This window comes from Homo sapiens, chromosome 12 (genome assembly GCF_000001405.40).
Source record: "Homo sapiens chromosome 12, GRCh38.p14 Primary Assembly".
Taxonomy (NCBI): Eukaryota; Metazoa; Chordata; class Mammalia; order Primates; family Hominidae; genus Homo; species Homo sapiens.
The window spans coordinates 24,804,070-24,819,188 of record NC_000012.12 but is presented as its reverse complement, the minus strand read 5'-3'; the positions used below and the strand labels follow the sequence as shown (position 1 = coordinate 24,819,188).

The 15,119-nt window shown below is 36.9% G+C and overlaps 1 protein-coding gene across 39 annotated transcripts in view; it reads left to right on the top strand.

Annotated features, from left to right (window-relative positions):
• The window catches only part of BCAT1 (branched chain amino acid transaminase 1), a 139,317-nt gene extending 130,152 nt beyond the window's left edge, over positions 1 to 9,165 (top strand). For 31 of the 39 annotated variants that reach the window (NR_182106.1, NR_182108.1, NM_001413107.1 and 28 more), the window contains one exon: positions 1,140 to 9,165. Coding sequence is in view for 30 of the 39 variants with exons in the window: in NM_001413107.1 (NP_001400036.1) it covers positions 1,140 to 1,181 (42 nt within the window). In the remaining 9 variants the exon portion in view is untranslated. The remainder of the gene's footprint in view (positions 1 to 1,139) is intronic. The other 8 variants (XR_007063110.1, XR_007063108.1, XR_007063109.1 and 5 more) reach the window with 4 other exon arrangements.

Below are 15,119 nucleotides of genomic sequence, written 5' to 3'. Positions count from 1 at the left end.
GGTGAACACATGGCGAGCAGTCTTGGTGGTGGTCAAGAACATGGAATTTGCTGTGAGAGAGAGCTTGGTTAGGGTCTGGGCTCTTCCATCTGTTAACTGCAAACTTGAGCAAGTTATTCAATCTCCCTAATATTCAGTTTTCTCATTCATAAAATGGATTGATAATGGTACCTTCTATGTACAGTTACTGTGGGTATTAAATGAGGTAATAAGCCTGTAAAACTCCTGGCATGATGACATTGGCCTACATTAATTGCTCACAGAGTGAGAACTTATTATAAACACAGGCATTTTTGTTGAATGACTGACTGATTGAATGAATGAATATAGAACTAGCTTTCTATTTGTGATGTATGGAATATCTCTATTTCATTTAATTTCATTTTGAATATTAAAATTCAGGCTTGCTTTTAAACCAAAGTATTTGCTGATGCAAAGAATGAAATTCTGACTATGATACAGTTACATAACTTTTGAAGAAATAAGAAAAATGCTAACACAGCATGAACAACTTTGATTTAGAGAACAGAGTCTCTGTTAAAATCCATGGGACTTGTCAACTTCATATTTTTGTTTATGAGCATAAAACACTCTTTAGTGCATGTCGGAATCATTTGATGCTTGCTGAATCACAGGTTGCTGGAACCCATCCCCAGATTCTGATTCAGTCTGAGATGAGGTCTGGGAATTTGCATTTTTAACTTGTTGTCTGGTGATGCTGATGCTAGTGGTCTGAGAATACACTTTGAGGATCACTTTTTCACAGTAAAAGTCACAGTCATTAAGCAAGTTAACTCAATGAGAAATGATAATGAAAAGGCATGTACCTAAATAGATAAAGGACCTATACCAGCTATGAATTTGAGTTCAGCAATAATTGTAAAATTTGTAATTCTTTTCAGGTATTTGGTTTTTAAAAAACTCCCTATGTATGCTTTTATCTTATGTTTTATATGGTGTCCCTCTTTTCCTCTCTTTCTCTCTAATCCAGTTTTTAATGTGAACATGTTTAATGTGAAAATGTTGTTCAAAGCAGAAGCGAACCTTTTGTGTAACCTTGGCGGTATTAAGTTTGTTTGTAAGCTATTTCTGCCCTGTTAGCTTCTGTACTGAAACACGTTTTCTTGCTTTTGTTGCAGTATGGAAGAGAAGAGAGCGACTGGACAATTGTGCTATCCTGAATGGAAAATAGAGGATACAATGGAAAATAGAGGATACCAACTGTATGCTACTGGGACAGACTGTTGCATTTGAATTGTGATAGATTTCTTTGGCTACCTGTGCATAATGTAGTTTGTAGTATCAATGTGTTACAAGAGTGATTGTTTCTTCATGCCAGAGAAAATGAATTGCAATCATCAAATGGTGTTTCATAACTTGGTAGTAGTAACTTACCTTACCTTACCTAGAAAAACATTAATGTAAGCCATATAACATGGGATTTTCCTCAATGATTTTAGTGCCTCCTTTTGTACTTCACTCAGATACTAAATAGTAGTTTATTCTTTAATATAAGTTACATTCTGCTCCTCAAACAAATGCAATTTTTTGTGTGTGTTTGAAAGCTAATTTGAGAAAATTTCATAGGTTACATTTCCTGCAGCCTATCTTTATCCACAGAAAGTGTTTTCTTTTTTTTAAATCAAGACTTTTAAAACTGGATTTCCTCCCATCACTGTTTTTTGAAGGTCCTCCAAGTCCGTGTTAAGGTAAATATCTGTTTTCTTCCTGATGTCACAGCCTGAGCATACTCTGTGCATTAGGAAGACCTGAGTGCATTTCCCACCATTGTCCTTTCCACATTATGTTGTAGCTGGCTGGCTGTCAGGCGACTACAAGACTGAGGGTCTTGTGCCTTATAGATCTTTGTATCCCCCATGGCTGACATATAGTAGGTACTCAGTAAATGGTTTTATAATGAATCAGTGAACATTTTGCTTCTATAGAAGTGTACCTTCTTTGTTTCTATATTATGAAACCTCTTTATTAGAATTTGTGATTGATTCTGACAGTGTATAGATTTACCTTATATTGTCTTTATTTTCCATGAGCTACTAAGTCATTAGAGATACTCTGAAGCATAGTTAGTTTAGGAAATCACTTCATATTGATTGTATTAGAATTATCTTGGAATTGAAGATATATCCCTAGAGCAGGGGACCCCAACCCCCAGGCCATGGGCCACACAGCAGGAAGAGGTGAGTGGTGGGCCATTGAGGAGCTTCATCTGTATTTATGGCTACTTCCCATCACTCGAATTACCACCTGAACTCCACCTCTTGTCAGCTCAGTGGCAGCATTAGATTCTCATAGGAGCACAAATCCTATTGTGAACTCTGCATGCAAGGGATCTAGGCTATGCGCTCCTTATGAGAATCTAATGCTTGATGACCTGAGGTGTAACAGTTTCATCCTGAAACCACCCTTCACCCTGCAGTCTGTGGAAAAATTGTCTTCCACAAAACTGGTCCCTGGTGCCAAAAATGTTGGGGACCACTGCTCTAGAGAGAGGTCATGATATCATACCAACCAAATGGAAATGACAAATGTTTTATGTCAAGTGTTAATTGCAGAAATAAATCTTTTTTTTTTTTTTTTGGTAGAAAACAAAGAGGCATACTCTGATTTTTATACTCTGTTTTTGCAGGTGCTCTTTTCTTTGAATGGAGATTTGATGAGCAAGTGGTTAGGATGCAGGGAGAGCTACTATGGGTGATATTTTCCTTGTTTAGGAGCTGTGAGTTAAAATTGTATCCTTTGTGGTTTATCTAAGGAAAGTCAAATCTTGACAGAAAACATTTTTCCTTGGAAGGTCAACTCTCAGACATTGTATTTTGGTTTCCCTCAGTCCTCATAACTTCCTTCTTGCTGAACATATTTTATTCTCTTTTCAGAGAAGGAAAATAAAAAGGATTCTAAAAGTTTGATGCATTGGAAAAATTTCCTTGAGGCATTTAGCAACACATAGAAAATGGGCTTTGATTCTTTTCCAAAACTTTTAGCCATAGGGTCTTTTATAGACAGGGATAGTAAAATGAAAATTGAGAAATATAAGATGAAAAGGAATGATAAAAATATCTTTTAGGGGGCTTTTAATTGGTGATCTGAAATCTTGGGAGAAGCTGTTCTTTTCAGGCCTGAGGTGCTCTTGACTGTCGCCTGCGCACTGTGTACCCCGAGCAACATTCTAAGGGTGTGCTTTCGCCTTGGCTAACTCCTTTGACCTCATTCTTCATATAGTAGTCTAGGAAAAAGTTGCAGGTAATTTAAACTGTCTAGTGGTACATAGTAACTAAATTTCTATTCCTATGAGAAATGAGAATTATTTATTTGCCATCAACACATTTTATACTTTGCATCTCCAAATTTATTGTGGCGAGACTTGTCCATTGTGAAAGTTAGAGAACATTATGTTTGTATCATTTCTTTCATAAAACCTCAAGAGCATTTTTAAGCCCTTTTCATCAGACCCAGTGAAAACTAAGGATAGATGTTTAAAAACTGGAGGTCTCCTGATAAGGAGAACACAATCCACCATTGTCATTTAAGTAATAAGACAGGAAATTGACCTTGACGCTTTCTTGTTAAATAGATTTAACAGGAACATCTGCACATCTTTTTTCCTTGTGCACTATTTGTTTAATTGCAGTGGATTAATACAGCAAGAGTGCCACATTATAACTAGGCAATTATCCATTCTTCAAGACTTAGTTATTGTCACACTAATTGATCGTTTAAGGCATAAGATGGTCTAGCATTAGGAACATGTGAAGCTAATCTGCTCAAAAAGATCAACAAATTAATATTGTTGCTGATATTTGCATAATTGGCTGCAATTATTTAATGTTTAATTGGGTTGATCAAATGAGATTCAGCAATTCACAAGTGCATTAATATAAACAGAACTGGTGGCACTTAAAATGATAATGATTAACTTATATTGCATGTTCTCTTCCTTTCACTTTTTTCAGTTTCTACATTTCAGACCGAGCTTGTCAGCTTTTTTGAAAACACATCAGTAGAAACCAAGATTTTAAAATGAAGTGTCAAGACAAAGGCAAAACCTGAGCAGTTCCTAAAAAGATTTGCTGTTAGAAATTTTCTTTGTGGCAGTCATTTATTAAGGATTCAACTCGTGATACACCAAAAGAAGAGTTGACTTCAGAGATGTGTTCCATGCTCTCTAGCACAGGAATGAATAAATTTATAACACCTGCTTTAGCCTTTGTTTTCAAAAGCACAAAGGAAAAGTGAAAGGGAAAGAGAAACAAGTGACTGAGAAGTCTTGTTAAGGAATCAGGTTTTTTCTACCTGGTAAACATTCTCTATTCTTTTCTCAAAAGATTGCTGTAAGAAAAAATGTAAGACAAAAAAAAAAAAAAAAAACAAACAGAGGCAGAGGCAGGCAGTAGCAAGAAAGCAGAGCGTAACATCAGCTAGATGGTAACATGCAATGTCAGCTCTCTTGAAGACATGGGAAACCTAAGTTACACCTTGGGTTAAAATTCTTCACCATATTAGTTTTGTTGCTTCATAAAATTTACCTAAGCAAGTGGTCTTGCTTGCCTCAAATCCAAGCAGTCTTGAACACTTGGAGGCAATTAATGAGTATATCTTAGTCAAAAGAATTGTTGGAGCTTTTTATTAAAGCTACAGTTTCAGTTCTGCTTTTGGGGAATTGTGCTATGAAAGCAGCTGCCAAAATAAGCTCATTTATTTTCTTCAATCCCACTCAGTGCTCAGTCACTATATTCTGTTTCCTTTTTTTTTTTCAAGTTGCATATTTGGTTTCCCCTTATGATTGGGAAAGATGAATTTTCAGCAGAAAACATTGTTTGTTCACTTTCAAAGAGTGATAGTTTCTAAAACATTTAGAGCAATAAATATTCATCAGAGGTACCAAGTAAGCCGGCAGAAGAGTTAAGGGTTAGAGAAATCCCTTATTTCATGTCTTGACTCTAAAATTATCAAAGTACTTTTCCTTGTAATGTGGATTTCTTCTTATGCGGATATGCAAAAACTTCAGTTATACGTAGTAATGCTAGCAGGTAATTTTAGTAGACATTTTATAACAACTGTCACTTTGTTTCGCCACATGTAGAGTTTGTTCAGCTATTTTCCAGATATCTCCCCACAAAAGGAGGCAAAGGGTACCAGCTTTTCAATGAGCATTACCTATTACTTGGCAAAGATGATGAAGACTCTATTAATAGTTCATTTGATAAATGTTGACATAACCAACAATAGAGATTAGGAAGTTAGTTTTAAGAAATCAATGGCATATAGACATTACCCTCATGGAGTTTGTATTCTACTACTTGAACTGATTGTAGCTATAAAAGCATAGTTAGATAGCTGAATAGTTAGATCATAAGCAAAGAAGGCCAGAACACATCTCTTATCAAGAAATCAATGAATAGTTTATCTCATTTTTAAAGCAACTTTATCCTTCTTTAATTCCTTCCTTTCTTCTAGTGCAAAACTACTTAATAAGGTTGGTGTTTAGGTTAGTGTTCACACCATTCCTCATCTGGTGTGAATTACCTTCTCTTTCTTTACTATTTACTACCAACCTAGTACATGTGTTGACTGAATTCTTTTCAAACAATGTTGAGTTATCATGGTGCACCTAATAAATTAACACCACAGATTACAGCATCCTTGCTGATTTTCTCAGCAAAGCCAGATTAGATGGAAATAAACAAAGAAAATGATCCTAGAGTGAATTTTTCTAGAAAATATCTATTATGAACCATGCTGTTTAAAGTATTAGCTTGAAGGTGATGGATCCAGCTATTCAGAAAATAACTTTCATATAACCATGATTTTGCACAGTATGAGGTCTTAAATGTGTGGAAAGAGATAAATTTTTTATCATTACCACAAACCCCTTTTAAAGATTCAAAGGTGGAAGAAAGTGATTTATTTTTTCTCTTCAGCATACATATATAAAAGACTTGTCAGATGTTTAATTTGGGGAGGTTGATAATGAAACATATCAACAGAGTATAGTAGTTATAGTAGTGTTTGTGGGTAAATAATTTCCTGGGGTCAGACATATATAAACATATTTGCTTCAAAATGATAAAGGCATGAAATCAGTCTTAAAAATTGAAATGGGGGTGATGGGGGAGAAAAAGAAGAACAAATTTGAAGTGCCCTTTCAAATCTGCTGGATACAAGTATTGAAGTTTTAAGTCATCTTATTCTGTCTGAAAGTGTATTTTTCATTCTACAATAGACCCAATCAACAAGACGTATAACTTGAGTTGCATGATGTTCAGTTTATGTAATCTACTGTTGGGATGGTAAGAATTGATGTAGGCTGTGGTGTAAGAATGAATTAAAATATAGTTTCACTGGCTTTTCTCTACATATCCACTATCACAATGGCTAGGTTTCCTGTTGCTCACTATTGGATTCTGGAGAAAAATTTAATGAAAGATGATATCAGAGGAAGAATAAGTGGAGGTAGAGAAGAAAGGAATGATAGAGGAGGGGAAAAAAACAAAACATATTTTTGTGTTATCCAAAGGAGCTTTTTCCTTATTCTGTCAAGCATTGAGATCTTCTTCAGCTTTCAATGTAGTTGCTAAATACAAATAATGCTACTAGGTAGTGACTAAATATAGCAAACACTTCATCAGATATTAGAATTAGGTCACACTATTGAGGTTATAATCTGAAGGTTGTGTTACATAGAAACCACTTTAGATTATTATCAACTTGGACTAGGCTTTATTTTATAATAGCATAGTAAGTAATATCTATTGTGTCATTTCTTCAACCATTTTATTCTAAGATCCATGAAGCTTCTTGAGGCCAAATAAAATAATAAGTTTAGACAAGAAGTAGATTGTGACTTTTTTCCCTTAGAGATACTATTTACTATCTCCTATCCTGATAGGTGGAAGGTTTACTGAATTGGAAATTGGTTGACTATTAGTTTTTAACTAAAATGTGCAATAACACATTGCAGTTTCCTCAAACTAGTTTCCTATGATCATTAAACTCATTCTCAGGGTTAAGAAAGGAATGTAAATTTCTGCCTCAATTTGTACTTCATCAATAAGTTTTTGAAGAGTGCAGATTTTTAGTCAGGTCTTAAAAATAAACTCACAAATCTGGATGCATTTCTAAATTCTGCAAATGTTTCCTGGGGTGACTTAACAAGGAATAATCCCACAATATACCTAGCTACCTAATACATGGAGCTGGGGCTCAACCCACTGTTTTTAAGGATTTGCGCTTACTTGTGGCTGAGGAAAAATAAGTAGTTCGAGGAAGTAGTTTTTAAATGTGAGCTTATAGATAGAAACAGAATATCAACTTAATTATGAAATTGTTAGAACCTGTTCTCTTGTATCTGAATCTGATTGCAATTACTATTGTACTGATAGACTCCAGCCATTGCAAGTCTCAGATATCTTAGCTGTGTAGTGATTCTTGAAATTCTTTTTAAGAAAAATTGAGTAGAAAGAAATAAACCCTTTGTAAATGAGGCTTGGCTTTTGTGAAAGATCATCCGCAGGCTATGTTAAAAGGATTTTAGCTCACTAAAAGTGTAATAATGGAAATGTGGAAAATATCGTAGGTAAAGGAAACTACCTCATGCTCTGAAGGTTTTGTAGAAGCACAATTAAACATCTAAAATGGCTTTGTTACACCAGAGCCATCTGGTGTGAAGAACTCTATATTTGTATGTTGAGAGGGCATGGAATAATTGTATTTTGCTGGCAATAGACACATTCTTTATTATTTGCAGATTCCTCATCAAATCTGTAATTATGCACAGTTTCTGTTATCAATAAAACAAAAGAATCCTGTTTGTGTGGTTTCATGAAATCAGCATTGTTGAATGCATGAAGTAATAATGCTAAATTAACATTTTTATGATGTCTCAAGGTTTCTGGTCAAGGGAAGTAAATGTAGGATAGTATTTTTACACCAAAATGACACAGAGAGAATTGAGCACACCAGAAAGACCAGAAACCACACCACTGGATAGAGATTCAATATGTTTCTTTTTCAAACATTTGGACAAGAAAAAAATGGGCATTTAAAAATTCTTCCTTCCCCTGGTTATGGATTTATCTGTAGTAAAACTTAGCTTTGTCGTTTGAGATTTGCACAGAATGGGGGGAGTAGATTACCTCTTCCCATTCATTGTCATAATGGATCTACATCACTGATAAACACCATACTTCTATATGTGGTTAACTAGCTTTAGAATAAAAGACACTTTAAAAAGTAAAAGGCCTAGAGATCTTCAATGAAGTGTCCCTTTTAGCCAAACCAGGCCTTGCAGAAATTGTCCTCAAAAGCACCAAGGGAGAACAAAGCCAAGTGCAGAATTACCCAAGGGTCACACATTTTGTATTCATTTTCTTATAATTTGCCCAAATGATTTGAAGTACAGCAAAACCTGAAGTTTTGCAAAGAGTTACTGTAAACTGAACTTAAAAATGTCAGAGTGCTCGGTGACCCACTTCTCCAGACCCTGTCAACCTGTGAAAATATTGGCCTTTATTCAGATCTCTCAAGAAGTTACGCGCAGAGTTTGGAAGGTCTAGGCAAAGGTTATTAGTCAAGTGTTCTTACAGTGTCAACGCTCAATTCCCACAAGCGTGAGAAAGAGAGACCTGTCATTCCTGAGGGTGATGACATACATTTACTGGAGCTTATATAATTTATCAGATAAGACAGCAGTTTCCTTCAGGGTAGAAAGTGTGTTTTCTACATTGATTTAGTACAAAACAAAAAGAAAAGGGGATATTTCAAATTTTATAATTATTTTTCTGCTAAGCTGATTCAGTGTGATTTAAGCATATTTTTCAAATCATGAATCTGATTCCATATACATATGTGCCTTATATTGTGATAATTTATTTTTAAGTGAAATATGCTATCATAGCCTGACTTTATGTATAGTGGTGACAACTTGCAGGATCGCATTTCTGTAACCAAACGGCCGACAGCTGAGGTGTAGATGCTTCCTATGGTCTGTAGAATAATCACTGGGCTTGTTCTCTAGCTATGTCTGTATGCAATCGCGACAGTGTTGATCAAAACCCATGATCATTCTCTCCAAAGGTCTTTGTCACTAAGCCACTAGGGATTCTGAAAAGTTCGTGAGCTGAAACAAATAAATTGAGTTGGAAGATTCATGTTGACTGTTTGTATCCCAAATGCAATATACCAGTTTTTGAAGCTGAACTGATTACATTAAAAAGGGATCAAGCTGCATTTGTTTTAAAGATAGTTACATGACCAAAAGTTGCTCAACATCATTGGTCATTAGATATGTGCAATCAAACCTGCAATGAGATATCACTTCACCCCAGTTAAAATGGCCTATATCCAAAATGCAGGTAATAACAAATGCTGGTAAGGGTGCAGAGAAAAGGGAACCCTCTTACACTGTTGTTGGGAATGTAAATTCATACAACCACTATGGAGAACAGTTTGGAGGTTCCTCAGAAAACTAAACATTGAGGTATGATATGATCCAGCAATCCCACTGCTAGGTATACATCCAAAAGAAAGGAACTCATTACATCAAAAAGATATCTGCAATTCTATTTTTGTTACAGCACTGTTTACAATAGCTATGATTTGGAAGCAACCTAAGTGTCCATCAATAGATGAATGGATGAAGAAAATGTGGTACATGTACACAATGGAGTACTATTCAGCCAGGAAAAAGAATGAGATCCTGTCATTTGCAACAACTTGAATGGAACTGGAGGTCATTATGCTAAGTGAAATAAGCCAGGCACAGAAAGACAAACTTTGCATGTTCTCACTTATTTGTGGGATCTAAAAGAACTATTGAACTCATGGAGATAGAGCGTAGAATGGTTACAAGAGGCTGGGAAGGGTAATGTTGGTGGGGAGGACAGAGGAAGTGGGAATGGTTAATGAGTACAAAAAAATAGAAAGAATGAATAAGACCTCCTATTTGATATCACAACAAAGTTACTATAGTCAATAATAACCTAATTGTACATTTTGAAATAACTTAGAGAATAATTGGATTATTTGTAACTCAAAGGATAAACACATGAGGGGATGCATACCCCATTCTCCACGAAGTGCTTATTTCACATTTCATGCCTGTGTCAAAACATCTCATGTACCCCATAAATATATACACCTACTATGTACCCACAGAAATTAAAAATATAAAAAAGATAGTTACATAATCTAGTAAACACTTCTCATGAAAAATTTGTTTGTGATAATGATAAGCAAAGGTGATGCATACTTTAATCTCTGGCTTCTTCCAAGCCATTGTAGGATGCCACAAAACAGCTTTCTTAACATGCAAGTAGCCTAATAATTAACAGGATGGTTAAGGGCCATTGGCTGATCCTGTGATCTTGAGTAAGTTTCTTAAATTGGCAAAAAAAAAAAAAAAAAAAAAAAAGGAGATCATAAACATACCAATCTTGGCCAGGCGCAGTGGCTCATGCCTGTAATTCCAGCACTTTGGGAGGCTGAGGTGGGCGGATCACCTGAGGTCTGGAGTTCAAGACCAGCCTGACCAACATGGAGAAACCCCGTCTCTACTAAAAATACAAAATTAGCTGGACGTGGTGGCACATGCCTGTAATCCCAGCTACGAGGGAGGCTGTGGCAGGAGAATTGCTTGAACCCAGAAGGCGGAGGTTGCAGTGAGCCAAGATCGCACCGTTGCACTCCAGCTTGGGCAACAAGAGCAAAACTCCATCTCAAAAAAAAAAAAAAAAAATAGTACCAATCTTATTGGTTATAAGGATTAGTGAGAATATAAATATCTTACAACAGTTCATGTGTAAAATGTAAACTGATGGAATTTTATTAAAAATGAATGAACCCAAAGACAGAAAGGGGCTAATAGCTCACAAAAGTCCTGTGTGAAGAAGCTGTGGTGACAACTTGCAGGATCACATTTCTGTAACCAAACAGCCCACAGCCGAGATGTAGACGCTTCTTATGTCTGTAGAATAATCACTGGGCTTGTTTTCTAGCTATGTATGTATGCAACAGGGACAGTGTTGATCGAAACCCATGATCATTCCTCTCCACCCAGTGGAGGTGGTAAATGTTCCTAGGTTCAGAGCACAGCTGCTTGGGACAGGGGGATAATCTAGCATTCCCAGACTGCTTAGAGTGAGTTAAAAATGTGTGATTTACTCAAGTCTGGAGGTAAAAACCAGGGCTGGATTAAACAATGATGATCGATTATTGAAAAATAGACGTTTTTCGTTTTTACAAATATAAGTTCTATGCTCCCCATGAATACAACAGTGATGATTCATTTCATGCGTCAACTTAACTAGGCTACGGTGCCCTCTTGATTGGTAAAACACTAACCTAAATGTTGCTGTGAAGTTATCTTTTAGATGTGATTAATATTTAAATCAGTAGACTGAGAAAAGCAGATCACCCTCCATAATGTGAGAAAGTGAGTGGGCCTCATCCGATCCATTGAAGGCCTTAAGAGCAAAGACAGGAGGAATTTGGCCTTAAAACTGCAAATGGAAATTCTGCCTGAATTTCCAACCTGCTTGGCCTGCCCTGCAGATTTCAGACTCAAGATCATAACGTCAACTCTTACCTGAATTTCCAACCAGTTGGCTTGCTGTACAGAATGTGGACTCGTCAGCCTCTACAATTTTATGAGACAGTTGAATTCCTTAGAAAAAATTAATCTCTCTCTTCATGTATATATGTAGGTAGATAGATATAGATAGCAGTACAGTGCCTATTTATTCTTTATAGAATCCTGACAAATACAACAACAAACAACATTTTTACTTACAGTTTCCTCTACTAAGTAAAAAAATCACGTACTCTATTGTTCTCTTTGGACTCAGGCAAGCCTATTCTTTCAGAAAATTGTTCATCACATAAGGCACTAGTGATAGTGTACTCTAATCATAAACATAGTACCTAAGAAAAAAATAAGAATTCCAGGATGGGCAACGTTGCACAACCCAAAGTAACTAAATGAGGGCGGACATCAAAAGTGTATTTTCAGGCATCAATGGGAGAAATAGTTCTGAGTGTTAGGCCATGAAATGCCTTAAATTATTGTTATTATTATTGTGTTTAGGGCCTGAATCTATGCCCCGAGAATGCAACATGGCCAAAAGTAGACAGAAAAAGCTTTTTTGGTATAATTGAAGGATGGGATGATTTTGTCATGTAAGAGCCATTTTAACGATAAAAGTCAGCTTCATAGTTTTACTAAAATGTGTGGCTGCAGTGATCACCATGGCTGTCACCCAGACCTCCTGTCTACACAGTATGACAACCAGGTTCAACCCCAGACTTACTGGTGCTCCCACTACCAGGTTCAAGTTAGGAAACATCTCTGTAGTCATTTCAACTTTCATATCTCTGTATTCCACATCTATTAAAGTTATCTTTTGCAAGTCAGTTTTTGTAAACTCCTGAATAAAGAGAACAAATTGATCTGCATCTGCAGTGAGATTTGACAAGGCAACTTAAAAGGCAGTAAGGAGCTGAACAAGGTTAAGTGAGGGAGATGGGGATTATCCACAGCAGCTCTTCACCAGTTTGGTTCTCACAAAAGGAGAAGATGATCTCATATTTTGCATGAAGGAAAGGAAGAGAATTTTCCTTGGACTTGCTTGTTTCATAGTCATGAGGTTAACGGTTGCATTTTCTGCAAGAGCATTTTCCACCCAGTTTAATGCAAACTTTCTTTAACAGCAAACGTCCTCCTCCTGATACTATTCAATAATTATTATTCTTGCTAATCATTGACTTGAATGGCTAGATTTCACAGTCAAATGTACAAAGTCTGGTAGATAATTTTGTTTTTATATTTCCCTTTTATTCATAATCATTCAATTTCCCCACAGCCATCTAGGAGACTATGAGAACTTGTAATTATTTATGTCAATGTTTTCCTCTCCCACTAGACTAGTAATTCTTCAAGATATTACATCTAACACATTTTCCAATATTCTCAGAACAAAATTCTTTAATCACATATGAATAGTATGCATTGAGCCTCCAGCCTAGTGTCTGACATCTAGTAATCACAAAATATTTGGCAGACCTATCTGGGCACTATTTAGCTCCAAGGATTGAAGGCTTCTGGTTTCCAGGCTCAATCTCACCCAATGCATGAGTTAATTGGCAATAGGCCTGATGGTGCATTAACAGCTGAGGTTCAGGGGCATGAGCTTAGCTTTGCTGCCCTAATCCCAGCATCTGGTATCTCTTGGATGAGTCCTTGGGTTTCACCAAGCTAGAGCTTTCTTCCTAACCCACAAGATATGTGTCTATCCATCCTGATTGACTGGATTTCTGCCCTGGTATAGTTCTCTGTAAGAGGCAGTGTTCTCAGAGTCTTAGCCCGCTTGACCAGGGCCCAACCACCTTCTCAAGCCTGGACTTTGTCTCTTCCCACCCAGATATAGATGGGTCCAGTTTCCATCTAGATGAACATCTTTGAAACATAACCATGACCTCTTGCTCAATTATGGTTATTGCTAAACCCCACCAAGCAGTCTTTAACTCTTCAATACTAAGAATGGCTTTCATTAGACCCGAGTTTGCCATAACCCCTTGGATATGGTAATTTGAACTATTCCCTACCTCCTTCAGCTTGCCTGGCTCTGGTCTGTAATGCTTTGTCTGCCAGTTTGCTCCCTAGGTCTCAACTTAAAAGAACTCCCTCTTGGTCCAAAGAGGCAACCATTTAGCTTGGAAAATCATGTTAGCTTCTTGCTGTCTGGGTTTCCTCTCATTTAATTAATTTTTTTTTCTTTAGAGAGTAATGTCTTTTAAAACCCAACATTGCATCTACTGGATGAGTTTTGAATGTTTTGCACTCAAGGGATTGTTACCACACTAGCAGTATCAGCAACTGCTGGTCTGGGTGCTTTTTAGAAATGCAGAATCTCAAGCCCTCCCCCAAACTACTGAATCAGAATCTGCATTTTAACAAGATGTTTTATCTACACATTCACTTTTTTTTTGAGACAGGGATCTCGCTATGTTGCCCAGGATGGAGTGCAGTGGCTATTCACAGGTGTGTTCATAGCATGTGATATGGTTTGGCTGTGTCCTCACCCAAATCTCATCTTGAATTGTAGCACTCTTAATCTCCACATGTCACGGGAGGGACCCAGTGGGAGATAATTGAATCATAGGGGCAGGTTTTTCCTATGGTGTTCTTATGATAGTGAATATGTCTCATGAGATCTGATGGTTTTATAAAGGGCAGTTTCCCTGCACATGCTCTCTTGCCTGCCACCTTGTAAGACATGCCTTTGCTCCTCCTTTGCCTTCTGCCATGATTGTGAGGCCTCCCCAGTCATGTGGAACTGTGAGTCCATTAAAATTCTTTTTCTTTATAAATTACCAAGTCTCCAGTATTTCTTCAAAACAGTATAAAAATGAAGTAATACAACATGCTACACCCTGAAATTCCTGGCATCAAGTGATCCTCCTGCCTCAGCCTCCTGAGTAGCTGTGACTGCACGTAAGCACATTCAAATTTGAAAGTGCTGATCTAAAAAATCTCTCAGCATCACATCAAATACAGGGGCTAAGGAGAAACTATTGTGAAGTTAGAAATAAGATTCATTTGGCCGGGTGCAGTGGCTCACGCCTGTAATCCCAGCACTTTGGGAGGCCAAGACAGGTGGATCGTGAGGTCAGGAGTTCAAGACCAGCCTGACCAACATGGTGAAACTACATCTCTACTAAAAATACAAAAATTAGCCAAGCGTGGTGGTGCATACCTATAATCCCAGCTACTCAGGAGGCTGAGGCAGGAGAATTGCTTGAACCCAGGAGGTGGAGGTTGCAGTGAGCTGAGATCATGCCACTGCACTCCAGCCTGAGTGACAGAGAGAGACTCTGTCTCAAAAAAAAAAAAAGAAAAAAAGAAATGATTCAGTTGAAAAACAGAATTAATTTTATAAATAAAAGAATTCATTCTGAAGCTGAAGTGATTTTACATCATCATACTCAATGTAGCCTTGTGTTTGCTCGGAACCCAACATATGCAGGTTTGATTCTGAAATGTTCCTAACCTGCCAATGCTTTCTTGAGCTTTCTCCTGGAACTTCCTTTATGTCTGAGTTTCGTGT